Below are 18425 nucleotides of genomic sequence, written 5' to 3'. Positions count from 1 at the left end.
TCCAATTTTACCAATGGTCCAATGACTTGCCACTTGGTTTGTAGTTGGTGATTATATTTTACCATCACTCCTTTAACCTCTGTAAAATATTCAAAAAGACCCAACTCAGCAGGTTAAAATAGCCTTTGATTGTGTATTTGTAATGTATTTAGAGATCACTTCAATCATGTTTTTATGAAGTAATGAATGATCTGCCAAGGGGTGTGTGTGAGAGAAAAAAGTAAGAGTGAGAGAGGAAGGTTGGTTTACCAGTCTTAAGATAGGCTGATGTCTTGGTTTGTATAGTTCAGTGCTTCAATCCCTTGATTTGCTGTGGCTGTACAGTTTTTAAATAGCCAAAGTCAAAGAGGAACATCCATGAGTGCTTTTTCACAAGGTTCTGGTTGAACCATCATTTTTACCTTGACTTCGTAAGGAGCCAAATAAAAAGCATACAATATGGCATTTGTCAGAGATTTTTAAATAATATTTAACCTTCTCATAATCCTGAGCATCCAACAGGACCACCGAGAGGAGTGGTTTGTGTGAGCTGTCATGGCTGGCCCACCTCTGGAGGCCGTGTGATCACTCTAGCCTCTTTAGAATGCAGAGTTACAAAAGCAAATCCCATTTCCATTGATTTAGTTACAGGTCGGAAGTGAAAGCAAGGCAAGATGTGAAACCAGACATCCGACAGCCTCCATTCACAGACTACAGGCAGCCCCCGCTGGATTACAGGCAACCCCCAGGAGGGGACTACCAGCAGCCCCCACCCTTGGACTACAGGCAGCCTCCCCTACTGGACTACAGGCAGCACTCCCCCGACACCAGGCAGTACCCTCTGTCGGACTACAGACAACCCCAGGTACCTCCTCCCGGAGAGCAGGGTGGGTCCTGACCAAGGCTTCCAGAGAACTGCAAGGAATGAAATAGGAGAGGCAGAGGAAAGAGTACCTGTCTGGGATGGAGAGCTGAAGTTCTATTCCTAGTTCTGGTAACATCGGGGTAACACCTGCATCCTCAGAAACATGCTGGATAAATAAATCTATTTCAGAATAAAGCAGGACAATAAATAAATATGGATAAATACATAAATAAATAGCGGATGAGTAGTAATGGAATAAACTAATCCCTGCTAATACTAGCTAACTCCTTGTACGTTTCCTTGTCAAAGTTTTAAAAATGCTCTAACCTGGGACCTCTGAGAGTGCTGCTAATGCAGAAAATTTTATAGATGCTAGCAGTGGAGGTATTTTAGGTCCATATTTTTTTACGTGGCCCCCTACCTGCCACTCTGTGATAAAGGGCCAAGCCCCTGTGCGTAAGAATAAGACCAGGCTTGGCTTCACAATCCAGAGTGTAGCGCCTGCCACAGCCAACAACTCTCTGTCTACACAACCAGTGTCACTGTTGTTATGATTATTTGTTGATGTGCTTCATGTCAACTTCCTTAACTTCTCTGAGATTCAGTTTCCTAAAGGGAGAGTCTTCCTTACAGGCCAGGATGAGGATTCAACATTTATGAAAAGAGTCTAGACCAGAGTTTGGTATCTAGAAAATATTTCCTACTTCGTAACTACATACCAAGATATAAATTAAGTACAATCTCAACTCTATCAGATTACATTGTGTTTTATTATGAATTGAAGATCAACTTTATGCCCAAAGATTTTAAGAATAGTGAAGATCAGAGAATCTTGGACATACTGCATTTTAGGTAAAAGAGAAATTGATTTTGTACATTCCAACTTGATATTCAATAGTCTGTGCAACTGAGAGATCTAATTATCAGATCCCACTAAATTTTACTTTTCTAATCAGCAAACTCTGTAATTTGTACACACACACACACACACACACACACACACCTGACATTTATTTATGGTGCTCAATAGCAGTGAATGAGAGAAGTAAAAGGAGAGATGATGTCACTCAGGCCTATCTGTAATCATTCCACGTTTGCCAAGTAAACTGATGAATACCAAAGTAAACAAGCTACACAGTAATTCTTTGATGACCAAGTAAACTGTGCTCTGGCCTGCTCAAACCTTTGGAATTTTGTCTTTCATTTGGGTAGTTTATGAAGCCAGATTACGACTTCTCCCAACATCATGTCATTTGGAATACATTAACTAAGAGACAGAAGGAGAACACAGAGACTAGCCACAGAAGCTTCTCTGATAACTAAATAATTATTTATTCCATTTTCTCCCCAACCCCAAAGGATTTTGATTATTTCACTGTGGACATGGAGAAAGGAGCCAAAGGATTTGGATTCAGCATTCGTGGAGGAAGGGAATACAAAATGGATTTGTATGTGTTGAGACTGGCAGAAGATGGACCAGCAATAAGGAATGGGAGGATGAGGGTAAGAACAGTCTCTTTTTATAGAATTGCTTAATTCTGAAAGAAAAACCGACTGTGGTATTGGAAGAGTACTGAAGCATGCTGTCAAGCGGGGTTGCTGTAGGTTTGCCCTCTTTCTAGTTGATGATGACCCAGTTTCTTAAAAGTCTGGCCACTTGCTATTTTATAATATCTCTCATTCTCATTTTTCTGCTTATGACCTTCTAATTGATTAACCTCAGTAAAGTACTATTTTTCTAAAGAGCAAATGAAAGAAATCTAAGAAATAGCTTGAAAAGGAAACATTATTTCTCCATAATTCTTTCTATGGTTTGATGATTCTGTTTTGATTAAGGTTGAATCTTTTGAAATTTATTTTTAGTTTTGTGCTTTTTCCCCCATATTGATTAATCACATGGTTTTGCGGGACTTTTAGGAAATTTTTCCTTTGTGTTGACTGGTCTTTTGGTTTGATACTGGGCAGACAGAAGCATTAGGAGTAAAAGGGATTTGGCTTCTTGGATACAGGTTGTTCTTAAAAATGACAGCAGGGGCCGGGCGTGGTGGCTCACACCGGTAATCCTAGCACTTTGGGAGGCTGAGGCGGGAGGATCACAAGGTCAAGAGATGGAGAACAACCTGGCTAACACTGTGAAACCCCATCTCTACTAAAAATACAAAAAAATTAGCCAGGCGTGGTGGCGGGCGCCTGTAGTCCTAGCTACTCAGGAGGCTGAGGCAGGAGAATCGCTTGAGCCCAGGGAGGCGGAGGTTGCAGTGAGCCAAGATCGTGCCACTGCACTCCAGCCTGGGCAACAGAGTGAGAATCTGTCTCAAGAAAAAAAAAAAAAAAAGACAGCAGCTAGAAATTTTCCAATTAAAGTTAAGAGTAGATTTTTTCATTTAATAATTACTTTGAGGCATCTGATTGATGGGTAACTGATTCTTCATTTAAGGGTATAAAACAAAGCTTGTTAACAATATAAAATATTAGTCTCTTTACTCTCTCTGTGTGTTTGTGTGTGTGTGTGTGTCGGTGTATGAATAAAATCTAGAATTTATTCTTGCCCTCCCTCCTGCCTCTTTAAGTTAATAAAGAAAAGCTGTGGCTTTGGGGTTCCGGAACCTCAGGTTCTTGTGCAGAGCCTCACCAACCAATTTTCCCTGATGGCTGAATCTGTTATTTCTACCACCAAGTCTGCATTTCTATGATACGCATTTCCAAGTCAGAGGATTATCCACAGTCCAAAAGCAGAAGGCATGCACATCATGTCTTTGTTTCTCCCCACTACCACAATCCTTTGACAGCTGGGAAGCATCCAAGTTGGAATTTAAACCCAGGCAGGGCTGACACCAGAGACTGGCAGCCCTCCCCGTGATCTAGCACCAGCCTCCTCTTACCCCGTCTAGCCCTGATTTGAAGATGGGCCTCCACATGGTTTCCTGGCTCTACAGCTTCCCTATAAGCCAGAAGGACACTTTCTTAACCTGCTATAAGGCCAGCTCACAAGCAGTTAAGTAAAACAAAATTAATCTTTCCAGTGCAGGTGAAACACAGTAGGAAGACCATGTGCAAAATGGCCAGAGCCCTGTGAGAGATAGAGACCCACGGTGGACTACAGGGCTGGTCTCTGTCGGTTACAAACAGTGGCCATGTATTTTCACAAGGGATCTAAATGACTCGCTGCTGGATATACACAGTACTCCCAAGGCAAAGAAGCCTAAATAGAGAAATACCCTTGCAGGAAAAGATTCCTCTTTCTTACAGAATTTAAGCCAGAGCAATGGTTCTCAGCACGGTTCCTGGCATCAGCATCACCTGGAAACTTGGTAGAAATGTAGATTCTCTAGCCCCACCCAAAACTGCTGAATCAGAAACTCTAGGAGTGGGGTCACCAGGCTATGTTTTAGGAAGCTCTTCAGGTGAAACTCTGAGGTTTTACCTTCCGAGGTTTTATTATAGATACCTGTGTCAACTGCAATCCAAAAATATTACATAAAATTTTTCAGAAATAAACAATTATAAATTTTAAATTGTGCAGCGTTGTGAGTATCGTGCTGAAATTTTGTCCTTCCCAGAAGGTGAAACAGCCCTTTATCCACACTGTAGATGCTACCTGCCCACTGGTTACTCAGCAGCCCTCTCGATTATCAGATTGACTATCATGGTATCGCACTGCCCGTGTTCAAGTAACCGTTGTTTTACTTAGTAATGGCCCCAAAGTGCAAGAGTAGTGATGCTGGCATTTTGTTATAATTGTTCTTTTTTTATTGTTTTTGATCCCTTGCTGTGTCTAATTTGTAAATTAAACTTTATCATAGATATATATAGGGAAAACAGTGTATATAGGGTTAGTTCTGCCTGTGATTTCAGGCATCCGCTGGAGATGTTGGAATATATGCAAGAGGTATGAGAGGGAGCTACTATATTCACTTTATCAAAAAACCAGTGGAGAGTAGCAAGTTTTGACTTTAATTATTATACTAGATGGTTTTTCAACATCAGTTAATACTGATGTATTAAAAGTTGAATAGATAAAACAAAACACAATCTGTGAATGCAGAAAATAAGGGGAATAATAAAAAGAGATATATCATTGTCACGTCTGCTTGCTTTTCTTCAGTCAGTCAAGAAGGCTGGTGTCATAAGAGAAACACAATGGACATTCAGATTTTAAGGAAAAGGATAATAAATTATTAGAAAATATTACTGGAGCTGTTTATAAAAAGAAGACTTACGTTTGTAAAATGGCCTAATAAAATTGGGAGGGATGAAATTTTCATAGCTAGTGAATAAAATCTCTGATACAAAGCTCCTAGGAATATAACCTAATTAAAAGCCAAAACTAAATAGAAAACACAGGCAAAAAATAATGAACATAAAAAATAATATTGGCAAAGCTCAGTAAAACAGGGAATGTAAGAAATCAGGAGACATTTGGAGGGAAAGAATAGAAATTCTAAGTGCTTAAATAAAAATCTGAGAGTCAAGTTAAAAGAGAAATCTGAAAGGAGATCGTTTGCTCTTAAAATGGTAAAATATTTTCCTGTTTCCATAAAAGTGTAATATAGTTCGCATTTCCATAAAATGTATTTTTATGATGAAAAAGAACATTATTTCATAACTTCATCACTTGCAGCTGGGTACCATTTGTGTATGCCTATTTAGCATCACATAAGCTTATTTATAAGATGGTTTACCTACTTTCTGAAACTCACATGATGCAAAAGTCTGCCTGCAATGGGCTTTGGAATGACTAAAACATTTTGTTCAACCAATCAATGCACAAAAAAATATCATTTGCCCATCTTTTTTTTAAAGGAAAAGCAACATTCCCTGAAATTAGCTTCTTCTAAATTTGTCACCTTTCCTTCTATAGACCAGATATAACTAGTCAATACAAAAGCATCTTGGTTTATATATTGTTTTTATTAAACATAAAACGATTTACAAGAATATTTCTAACATATGTAATAAGTGTAAATACTAACCATGATTCAAGGACCCATGAACCCATAGCCCCACTTAAAAAACAGAACATTACCAAGCTCCCATGATTTCATTCTCCTCCTACTCTCCAGCCCTCAGAGGGAACCACCTTCCTAAATAAAGCACTTGACATTTCTTCTGTTGTTACCACAGATGTGTGTATCTCTCAACTATAACCTTTAGCTTGGTGCACTTTGTGAACTTTATGTAACTGAACCATACTGTACATGTTCTTCTCTGTGGTTTGCTTTCTATATGTTATGTTCATGAGATTCATCCAAGGTTGGTGCATGAAGCTATAGTCCATTTATTTTTCACTGCTATAAGTTATTTCATTATGTGAATATGCTACAACCTATAATAATTATCTATTTTTCCATTTTATGGACATTTGAGATTTTCCCTGTCAATTTACACTTTGGTTGTTTCCAAGTTTGTTGTAACTCATACAATCTTTGTACATCTTTCCTGCTGTACCTATGCAAGACTTTCTCTAGACTAGACTAGATGCCTTGGAGGGCACAAATTTAACTTACCTAAGTAACACAAAAGTATTGTCCAAGGTGGTTTTACAAAGTTATACTTGTATTAGCATATGTAAAAAAGTTTTTCTTACTACACACACTCACAAGATTTGTACGTCAGACTTTTAAACTCTCATTCTGGTAGGTAGAAAATTATATATTTTAGATTTGGATTTGCATTTCTTGATTACAAATTCATATTCATCATTTTTTCTTATATTTATTAGACGTTCATGTTCTCTCTTAACTAAAAAATGCCTGTACATGTCTTTCCTCATTTTCTGTTGAATATTTCTTCATGTTGATTATAGAAATGCTTATATATTATTGGTGATCTTTTTCATCAATTAATGTGATACAGATATCTTATGCCAGCTTATGGCTTGCAGTTTCACTTTCTTTATGATGCTCTTTGATAATGAGAAAGTCTTAATTTTAGCGTAATTGGCTTAACCCTTTTTTTTTTTTTTATAGTTTCTGCTTTCTGTGTCTTGTTTGAGAAATCATTCTCCAAGACATGGTCTTAAACGTCTTCTCTTATATCTTCTTCTAAAAGTTGTATAGTTTTACTTTTTATATCTAAGTATTTAATCACCTACAGTTGATTTCTCTGTATGATATAAGGTAGAACCTCAATCTCAATTTTTCCATATGGATAACCACATGTCACAGCATCATTATTTTTTTTTTTTTTTTTTTTTGAGACGGAGTCTCGCTCTGTCGCCCAGGCTGGAGTGCAGTGGCGGGATCTCGGCTCACTGCAAGCTCCGCCTCCCGGGTTCACGCCATTCTCCTGCCTCAGCCTCCCAAGTAGCTGGGACTACAGGCGCCCGCCACTACGCCCGGCTAATTTTTTGTATTTTTAGTAGAGACGGGGTTTCACCGTTTTAGCCGGGATGGTCTCGATCTCCTGACCTCGTGATCCGCCCGCCTCGGCCTCCCAAAGTGCTGGGATTCCAGGCGTGAGCCACCGCGCCCGGTCCACAGCATCATTATTTAATGAGTATTTCTTTGTCCCACCCCCCACCAATCTGCAATGACAGCTCTATAATAAATTAAATTTCTATAAATGCAGTGGTCTGTATATGGATTCTTTATACTGTTCTACTAGTCTATTTGTCTATCCCTGCATCAATGCCATACTTAGCTACCTTTTAATGAGTGTTGAGTTTTGTATGGGGAAACTTTCTCTCCCCCAGACACACATCTTAATTCTTCAGTGGTGTTGGGATGTTCTTGGGCTTTTGCCCTTCCATATAATTTTAGAATTTTCTTGTCAAGTGTTTTTGTTTTTGTTTTGAGACAGGGCCTTGCTCTGTCGCCTGGGCTGGAGTGCAGTGGCACAATCTCGGCTCACTGCAAGCTCCGCCTCCTGGGTTCACACCATTTTCCTGCCTCAGCCTCCTGAGTAGCTGGGACTACAGGCACCTGCCACCACGCCCGGCTAATTTTTTTGTATTTTTAGTAGAGACGGGGTTTCACCGTGTTAGCCAGGATGGTCTCAATCTCCTGACCTCGTGATCCGCCCACCTCGGCCTTCCAAAGTGCTGGGATTACAGGCATGAGCCACTGTGCCCGGCCACTTGTCAAGTTTCTAAAAAATCCTGTTAGAATTTTATTGGAATTGCTTGAAATCCATGTATAAATATGGAAAAATTTACATCTTTATAATATCGAGTCTTTCCATGAACATGATGTAATCCATTTATGTAGATTTTCCATAAAGTGCTTAAAGTTTTATAGCTTTTTCCATAACATACCTGCAAATATCTTAGACTGATTCTCAGGTACTTTTTGTGTTTTATTTTTACTCTTGAATACAGTATTTTTAAATCTTTACACAAATACATGTGTTGAGTGAATATATGCTTTTACTATTTTTAACCCAGTCTTCTTTTCTTCATTTTTTTAAGAGCGGTTTTAGGGTCACAGCAAAATTGAGAAGAAGGTGCAGAGATTTTCCTTATACTCCCTGCCCCACACATGCACAGCCTCCTCTCTATCAACATTTCCCACCAGACTGGTATATTTGTTACAATGGACAAATAAGTATTGATACATCATTATCACCCAGAGTCCATAGTTTACAGTATGGTTCAGTCTTGGTGTTGTACATTCTTTTTTTTTTTTTTTTTTTTTTTTTTGAGGAGTCTCACTCTGTCACCCAGGCAGGAGTGCAGGGGCACAATCTTGGCTCACTGCAACCTCCGCCTCCCAGGTTCAAGCAATTCTCCTGCCTCAGCCTCCCAAGTGGCTGGGACTGCAGGCACTAACCACCATGCCCGGCTAATTTTTTTGTACTTTTAGTAGAGACGGGGTTTCACCGTGTTAGCCAGGATGGTCTCTATCCCCTGACCTCATGATCTGCCTGCCTCAGTCTCCCAAAGTGCTGGGATTTACAGGCGTGAGCCACTGCCCCCGGCCGGTGTCGTACATTCTATGGGTTTGGACAAATGTATAATGGCATGTATCCACATTATAGTATCATAAAGAGTATTTTTACTGCTCTAAAAATTCTCCGTGTTCCACTATTCATTCCTCCCTCCCCACTAACCCCTGGCAACCACTGATCTTTTTACTGACTGCAGAGTTTTGCCTTTTCCACCATGTCATATAGTTGGAATCATACAGTATGTAGTAGCCTTTTCAGATGGACTTCTTTCACTTAGTAGTATGCATTTAACTTTCCTCCATGTCTTTTAATGGCTTAACAGTTCATTTCTTTTAGTGCTGAATAATATTCCATTGTCTGGATGCACTACTGATTTTGGCAATTATGAATAGAGCTGCTATCAATATTTGTGTGCAGATTTTTGTGTGGACATAAGTTTCCAAGTTCTTTGAGTAAAAACCAAGGAATGCAATTGCTGGATCATATGATACAAGTATGTTGAGTTTTGTAAGAAACAACCAGCAGTCTTCCAAATTGGCTATACCATTTTACATTCCCACCAGTGACGATTGAGAGTTTCTGTTTCTCCATATCCTCATCAGCATTTGGTTCCGTCATTGTTATGGATTTGGGCCATTCTGATAGGCATGCAGTGGTATCTCATTGTTGTTTTAATTTACATTTCCTCGATGGCATATGATGTGGAGCATCTTTTCATATGCTAATCTGCCATATGTATATCTTCTTTGGTGAGGTATCTGTTAAGGTGTTTGGCCCACTTTTTATCAGGTTATTTTTCTTTTTATTGTTGAGTTTTAAGAGTTCTTTGTACATTTTGGATAACAGTCCTTTATCAGATACATCTTTCATAAATATTTTCTCCCAGTCTGTGGCTTGTCCTTTTATTCTCTTGACAGTGTCTTTTGCAGAGCAGAAATTTTTAATTTTAATGAAATCCAGCTTCCTAATTATTTCTTTCATAGATTATGCCTTTTGTGTCATATCTAAAAAGTCATTGCCAAATCCAAGGTCTTATAGATTTTCTGCTATGTTATCTTATAGGAGTTTCATAGTTTTGCATTTTACATTTAGATCGGGATCCATTTTGAGTTAATTTTTGTGAAAGGTGTTTTGGTCTGTGTCTCGACTCATTTTTTTTGCATGTGGATGTCCAGTTGTTCCAGTACCATTTGTTGAGATAACTATTTTTTCTTCATTGCATTGCCTTTGCTCCTTTGTCAAAGATTAGTTGACTATATTTATGCAGGTCTATTTCTGTCTATTCTGTTCCATTGATCTATTCGTCTATTCTTTCACCAATACCACACTGTCCTGATTACTGTGGCTTTATAGTAAGTCTTGAAGGTAAGTAGTGTCAGTCTTCCAACTTTATTCTTCTCCTGGCTATAGTATTTTTAATGTCATTTTAAAATTAACTGTTAACCAGTGAAGAGAAAGGCAACTGAATTTTGTATATTGATCAATTATATCAGGCAAAATTCACTGAACTCTCTTATTACTTCAAATAATTTATCTGTACCTACCTCTGGATTTTCTGCATAAAAATCACATTTTCTCTAATTAGAGTTTTGAGGTTTTTTTCCCTTTAAGTCCTTTTATTTCTTTTTTTTAAATTTCATTGGCTTGGCTTACTGTATGATGCTGAATAGAAGTGGTCAAAGCAGGCACTTTTGTTTATTTCTAATCTTAAAGAGAATGCTTTTTAAAATTTCATTAAACATGATGTTTAATAGGTTTTTATAGATAACCTTCAACAGATTAAAGATGTTTTCTTCTATTACTAGTTTGCTAGGAGAGTTTATTATGAGTAGATGTTGAATTTTGTCTACTTTTTCTGCATCCATAGACAATACCATCTGATCTTTTTCTTTTATATGGTAATTAATATGATTAATCATATTAAAGGATTTTTATGGTTCAATTACTCTTGAGTTCCTGGGATGAGCCCTATTTATTCATGATGTATCATTTTTATGCATTGATCAATTCAATTTTCTGTTATTTCCTTTAAGATTTTTATATCTATGTTATTGAGTAAGATTGGCCTATAATTTTCTTGTAGTATCTTGGAAAGATTTTGATATTAATGTTACCCTAACCTTATAAAATGAGAAATAGAATAATCCTTTTTGTTGCTGTTGTTTACAGTTGTTGTCTGGGAAAGTTTATGTATGTTTTGAATTATCCTTGAATGTTTGGTGGAAGACACCTGCAAACTCATCCAGATCTAGTATGTTTTCTTCATGTGAAAGTTTTAGTTCACTAATTATGTTTCTAAATAATTATCTTCAGATTTTCTATTGCTTTTTAAGTCTATTCTGATAAACTGCTTTTCTTCCTAATAATTTACCTATTTCATCTTAGTTTTCAAACTTTTTATATCATTTTTATTTTTATCTTATTTCATTTTTGAGACAGGATCTTTCTTTGTCACTCAGGCTGGAGTGCAGTGGTACAAACATGGCTCACTGCAGCATCAACCTCCTGAGCTCAAGTAATCCTCCCACCTCAGCCTCCCAAGTAGCAAGGACCACAGGTGTGCACCACCACACCTGGCTGATTTGTTTCTTTCATGTAGAGATGGCTCTCACCACGTTGCCTAGGCTGGTCTCAAACTTCTGGGCTCAAGCAATACTACTGCTTCAGCCTCCCAAAGTGCTAGGATTACAGATGGGAGACATCACACCTCACCTGCCTGCTATTTTTAATGTTTGGGGTATTTGTATTTGTGTCTGTTTCATTTGACTACTGTTCTGGTATTCCATTTTTCTTTATTAATCATGCCAAAGATTGTTCAATTTTCTTTTATTCTTTTCAGAGAGTCAGCTTACATATTTGTCTTCTTGCTTATTCATTTCTGTTTTTATACTTAATATTTCATTCCATCCATTCTTTCTGGGTTTACTCTGTTGTTCTTCTTTTTTTTTTTTCCTAAGTTGGATGCTTAGAGTAGTAGTTCTTAGGCTTTCTTCATTTCTATTAAAATACAAATTTAAGGCTGTAGATTTAATATGTAGTATGTTCATTAAGTTCCAAATACATTCTAATTTCCACTGTGATTTCTTCTTTGACTCATGAATTATTTAGAAGGTGTTTTTGTTTTTTTATTTCTGACTGTATGGGGATTTTCTAGTTAGTTTTCTACTCTTAATTTGTCTTCAGAGAAAATACTCCACAAGATTTCAGTCTTTCAATTTTGTTGCAACTTGCTACAAACTTGGCCTAACATGTTGCATTTTTTATATATGATCCATGTGTGCTTGGAAAGAATGTGCATTCTGCAATTGTTGAGTGCTGTGTTGTATAGATTTGTTCATTGGATAAGGTTTGGTTATTGAACTATTCAGCTATTTTATAGTCTTACTAATTTTTATCTATTTGATCTATTAAATACTGGGGTAGGTTCTTAAAAATCTTTGCTAATGGTTTTGCAAATTTTTCTTTGAAAAGCAGTTGACTTTTTTTGATGGAAATGGGGCCTCACAATGTTGCCCAGGCTGGTCTTAAACTCCTAAGCTCAAGCAATCCTCCTGCCTCAGCCTCCCAAAGTGCTGGGATTACAGGCATCAGCCAACACACCCAGCCTGAAGAGCTATCAACTTTTACTTTGTATGCTTTGAGGACATGTTTTTTGGTACTCAGGTTATTTCTTTTATTTTCCAGGTGAATCAATCCTTCTCATTATGTAGTGACCTACTGTATCTCTGTCAATGCTTTTTGCTTTAAAGTTGGTCTGATATTATTATAAGCATGCTAGTTTTCTTTGGTATGTCTCTTTTATCCTTTTGCTTTTAACCGTTCTGTGTCTTTATACTGTATGTGTTTCTCTGGCCTATTAACCTGGATTTTTTATATTTTAACAATATATTTCACCATGGTCATTTCAGTCAATTTACATTAATTTTATTTACTTATACTTGTATTTAATTCTATCATTTTTGTTCTTTTCCTATTAGTTTCACTTATTCTATCTTACCCTTTTTATTTTTTCAACTCTCTTTTGAATTGTTCTTTGGGGTTCCGGTTCATGCAAGGATCTCCTATTAGACTTTCCATTTGTAGCCCCTAAGCTGATTTTCTATCATTATTGCCTAGTCATCAAAATGGAAACTCAAGGTTCCCAGGAATCAGCAGTTATTTTCTGGCTACAAGCTGCCTTTTGTACTTGTTTACCTTCCAGGAGTCTTATTCTCACTTTGCTTTTGGCATCAGATGATTCTTTACTTTCTTCCCTATTCAGCAATGGTAAGGTTAGGGAATCTAATCCACCATATTGCCATAAACAGCAGTTAGTAACATTTACCTTTAACGACCAAGTTACAGTAGCTGCAACCACTTCCAGCTTTAGAGCTGGCAGTTGCCCCCTCTCACAGTGTGTCCACAGAGGAACCCCAGAGGGTGCCTCCCGTGTGCCCGCCGCATTCATTCTGTAGCATACGTCCTTATCTTCCTCTCCAGCTCCAGTCCCCACTTGTGTGAGTCCCATGTCCACAAAGTCACTAATGAGTTCTTGCCACTGCCACACAGTCCTGCCTGAGAACACACTCCACAGTCAAGGGGCTGGTACTGTGATCCCTAGGGCTCCCTCATGCACTCCTGGGTCCCGGGCACAGAGAAGCATGGTCCCCTCCACCCTGCCACACACTGTCACCTCAGCACTGCAGAATCCCATTTTATCTTCCTCAGGACCCAGGTGGCTTGTCTGGGCCATAAATGTGCAGGCCTGCCTGGCTGGAGGCTTTGCCTGGACTGGGGAGGAGCTTCTTCATAGCTTGCTCATATCCTGCCACTGGGATTGAATGGCATGGCATACAGTCTGGAAATAATATGCCCCTGAGTTCAGAGAAACAAAGCATTGAGGCTGATTCCCTTAACAAAGACTGTCACGTGGGCACAGAATTTCCCAGTGGGAAAAAGTTGGGTAAAACAGTGTTATATACCCATTGGTGAGTTTATCTGTTTGAGGACTCCAGTCATTGGTGCATGATTTACATCTACTTCATTTATTTCAATCACCTAAGATACTTTCACTGATCAGCTCTCTTAAGCTCACTCTATTTCTTCCTTGCCCTGAAGACTTGCTTAGAGGAAAATTCTTACCTGTCATAGTGACTTTCTTGTCCATTTGTTTTCCTCCCTTGTAAGGAAATAACGAGCTAGTAAAAAGAGCAGGAGCCTGACAGACATATTCAAATACTGGCTCAACAACTCACTGGCTGTCTAGCTCTGACCTGAACAAGTTACCCTGTCAGGGGCTCACAGCTGCTCTATAGCTTTGATCAAATACCAGGTCCTCCTGAGCAGCAGGATCAGTTGAGTCAACTCTAGCAATTAGTGGAATGATAGCTTGTCCTCATATCCTGAAAGTAATTTCACAGAGAGTCAATTTTACTGATCTAATCAATGGGAATAATATTTCCAGGAAGGGTAAAGTGCCTAGTTCAATATTTCTGAAATTTCTTCTATTCTTCTACTCTCTTGTTCTCCCCAAGGCCTGTACTGTTATTTATTAAAATACAGGCATGCATCTCTTGATGACAGGGATACATTCTGAGAAATGCATTATTAAGTGATTTTGTCATGCAACTATCAAAGAAGTACACTTACAAAAACCTAGATACTATAGCCTCCTACACACCAGGTTACAGCTCCTACCCACCAACCTATAGCTCCTAGGCTACAAACCTGGACAGCATGTTATTGTACTGAATACTGTAGGCAATTTTAACACAGTAGTATTTGTATATCTTAACATATCTAAACATAGAAAGGGTAGAGTAAAAATATCATATTAAAATATTATGGGACTACCATCACATATGCAGTCCACTGTTGATCAAAACATCATTATGTGGTGCACGACTGTACTCACTACTCAGCACAGAGGTACGGAGAGCATCTTTTAAGTAAGTATGTATGTCAAGAGGCTACAAAAGCTTTCAAATACAAATCAACTTGTATTTTCCTCCCCTCAGCCTGCTAGATAAGATGGTTCCTTTTCAAAACACTCATCTGATCTATCTGCTTACTGTTTAAAACCCTTCCATGGCACCCCATGGTCTTTCAGATTAAAGATCAGACCCTCATCACAAGGCTGCCAGGCCCTGCGTGTTCTATCCCCAGTCCCCCTCCCTGCGTGTTCTATCCCCAGTCCCCCTCCCAGCTCATCTCACACAGCTCCTCCATCCCTTGCTCTGTTATCCCACCAACCAGTCTCTCTCCCCATGCTTCTTCCTGCCCATGGGGCTTTTGCACATGTTGCTCCCTCTTCCCAAAAGGCTCTTCCCCCACCCGTTCCCCTGGGTAAGTCCTCCTCATCCTTCACATCCCACTTCAAGCATCACTTCCTCAGAGAAGACTTCCCCGTGCTTTCCAGTTGGGTCTCATCCACCTGTCATTGGCTGTCCCAGAAACAGGCACATCTTCTTCATAGCATTTGTCGCAGTGATAATTTTACATATTTGTGTCTGATCACTTTATGAAGTCTGTCTTTCCAGAGCATAAGCTCTGCAAGAGCAGGAATCATGTTGCTCTGGGCTGCCCACTATACCCCAGGGCCCAGGGCTGTGTACCTGGGGCACTCAGTAAATATTGACTGCTGAATGCATACGTGAACAGAAGCTGTCAAAGTACAGAACACTGCAGTTGTGTTTTCCAACTCTGCACATTCACTAGCTGTGCTTTTCAAGTCCATGGCCACAAAGATACCTGATGAACCAGGACATGGGATTGCGCAGGTAACTGACTATATGAATATATGTGGCAATTCAGTCTAACTCGCAGTCAGCTTTTTTTATAACGTGCCTCACTGTAAATACATCGTCCCTGTTCAGATATGCCTAACTAAGATTTTGCAGAATCAGTGAGGTTGTATATGCAAAACCCTATTGTGCCTAGCATTAAGAAATGCCTTTAATCTTAAACTAGGTGACATTCCAAGACTTGTTTCCCTTATATGTAAACTATCTCTCACCAAACGTGGATGACAAGGAAAGAATGGAAATAAAGTAAAATAAGGTCAAACAGTAAATAATAAAGAACTTCAAAAGCACTGGGTATGCAAAACATGACAGAATAAAAGTTACAAAACAGGTGTGCTGGAGGCTAGTAGAAAAGGTACACAGGAAAGCAGTGCAATCTGAATGATGTGAAAGCCAGAGCTTAGCAGAATATACCAACCCCACAGAGCTAAGCCCCTCCAGGTCAATGCAGACAAATGACCTAAGGAAGTTGATGAAATCAAAAGCATGAGAGAAGAGAGATAACAAGTACATAAGAGGGAAATAAAGCAGCCTGTCTAGAGAAATAAAGCAATTGTATGGGCTCAGGTAGATCATTTCGAGGGCCCTGCATTGCAAAGATCGTCCACCCAATGTTTTATCACGTCTGGGTGCTGAAATTCAGCCAACCCTGAAAGCTCTTCTCTGCATACAGCGTGCCTCTTTACAAGCCATCCCAAAGACCATTTCGTCCAGATGCCTGGTTGTCTCTCAGCCATCACTCTTAATCATCCTTCAGATTGTCTGCAAATATGAGTTCTTTTCCCTTTATTGTCTGGCCCTGCTCCATGCCTTTTACGAAGGAAAAGAAAAGCCTCTCACAGAGATCAAATCCATTACCTTTTTCTTTTCAGAGTCTGACCTATGAGCACTGTGTTAAATGAGTTACACGAGCTGCTTGCAGCAATGAGGGAGAGCGTGGTGTTGATTAGAGAAGAGAGCCATGGGGAGCTCCATTGTCAATTATTCAGGGGCTCATTACCTCACATGAGGAGGACTCCATTTCTTTGCTCTGTTTCTTCTTCTAGTAGATGCCCAACTTTGAACCATTTCAAAAGCATCTTCCCATGAGGGCTAGTTAAAGGTTTGGTAAGGAATCAAAGGGCTGAGATTGCATCTTGGCATGGAAAGACATAGAAAGGAATTGAATACATTAGAAGTGTGAGGAGAGTCTTTGATTTTAATTATTCATGGTGGGGGCCGGTGCCTATGGAAAAGAACGAGAAAGTTTACAAACCACTGCTGTGATCTGAAAAAATACACTTTACTTGCCTCTTCAGTGAGGAGAAGGGTTGTATCATTTTCTCTTTTAAGCTTAACCGTAATTTTTCTGTCTTTGCCTGAGAATAAATTACAATTTCTTCCCTCTTCATTTTTACAAAGCAGTGTTTACGCAAATTTGCTCTCTGCTTGAGATTCTTTGTCATTCCATCTCTCCCCCAGACCTAAAGCTTCTGGCAGATGAGCAGGGGAGTCACTCAGTTTGCCCAGTTACCTTCTACTTTCCATTTTCATCAGAAAATGGATATGAAATGCACCTTGATCATGATTCACACAGGATTTGGTTTGCATGGCAGAGCGACTCAGAAGCTATGGAGAGCTGGGTACTGTATTCTTAAATGTGAATCTCAGGCCATTCACGTTTCTTCTTTGGGGTGCCCAGAAGTGTTCTCCTGATTGGCAGTCACCATTGTCAGACCCTGTCCCCTTCTTTCTTTGTGGCTGCTTCCTAGCTCTGGCTGTGTTGAACTCAGAGATGGCATTGCTCCTGCCTGTGGAACATTGCTGCTTCCTTCTCCAGGTTGAAAAGATCTGACTCCTGCATGGTTCAACTTGACAAAATATTTCTTTTTTAATAAATACAAGTAGAGCCCATACAAAGGGAGAATTAAGTACTTCTCCATATGGGGATCACCCCTGCTGGGTCCCGTAATAAAACAGCACAATTCCCAAGGCAGGCTTATGTCTCATTATTTGGTCAAGCATGGTGCGGGGAAGAGGTAGGGACTGACATTCCTCATAAATGCCTAGCCTGAATTTCCAACTGCCTATTGGATGTTCAGCGCATTCATTTTTCATCTCAGACCAGTCACGAGTTGTTGTTATGCCATCTTAATGCCATCTTAGTGTCCCATGTCTTTGTGTAATTATCTGCCTGAAGGATGCATATACCCCTGGTCTTTAGGATGGTATCAGCTGAATTAGTCTCTTGTGGAAGAAAAAGACTCCTCAACCTAGTAGCATGACTGTGCTTGTGTATGAGACCTTGGGAGAAGAATGAAAGCCCAGAAAGGGAAGTTAAGGGCAGATGTAAGTAAGCAAAAAGACAAATTAATGAATATTGGAAAGAGGTTGTTTTCAAATACTGCCTCCCTTGCTTTAGAAAGGGAACAGCCAGGAAAACTGGAAAATGTACTTCTATCAGGGAATTAGGAATTGGAGAACAGGGAATTGGGGGCAAGCTCCCGAGTCAGTGCTCACAATTAACTACTTAACTAGGGGGCGTGCTCAGGCCTGAGCAGGGGCTGGCCTGAAATAAGCCAGTACACCTTGCTTCAGTCTGTGTCTTTCTGGAAATGGGCACATACATTTAGGAAATATAAGTCAGGTCTCAAATTATGCATTCTTTCATTTCATTCCATTGCCACTGCCACAATACAGACCCTTGTCTTTGCTATCCTGAACTGTTCCAGTAGCTAGATGGGTCCCACTAGCCTCAAATTTCTCCTATTCATGCTTCCTACAACTACCAAAATTGTATTTCTAAATCACAGGTGTAATTAAATCACTTGTTTCCTCAAAAGTCTTCAACAGCCTGCCTTTGCTTGCAGGATAAGATCTAACTAGGTTCACAAGTTTTTTTGTTTTGTTTTGTTTTGAGACGGAGTCTTGCT

The 18425-nt window shown here is 39.3% G+C and overlaps 1 protein-coding gene across 15 annotated transcripts in view; it reads left to right on the top strand.

Annotated features, from left to right (window-relative positions):
• The window catches only part of MAGI2 (membrane associated guanylate kinase, WW and PDZ domain containing 2), a 1436613-nt gene that overhangs the window by 1325627 nt on the left and 92561 nt on the right, over positions 1–18425 (top strand). For all 15 annotated transcript variants that reach the window (XM_047421093.1, XM_017012845.3, NM_001301128.2 and 12 more), the window contains 2 exons: positions 625–844; positions 2204–2347. In XM_047421093.1, the coding sequence (XP_047277049.1) occupies positions 625–844; positions 2204–2347 (364 nt within the window). The remainder of the gene's footprint in view (positions 1–624; positions 845–2203; positions 2348–18425) is intronic.

Source organism: Homo sapiens, chromosome 7 (assembly GCF_000001405.40).
Source record: "Homo sapiens chromosome 7, GRCh38.p14 Primary Assembly".
Lineage (NCBI taxonomy): Eukaryota > Metazoa > Chordata > Mammalia > Primates > Hominidae > Homo > Homo sapiens.
The sequence above is the reverse complement of the archived record's forward strand: the minus strand, read 5'-3'. Positions and strand labels throughout refer to the sequence as shown.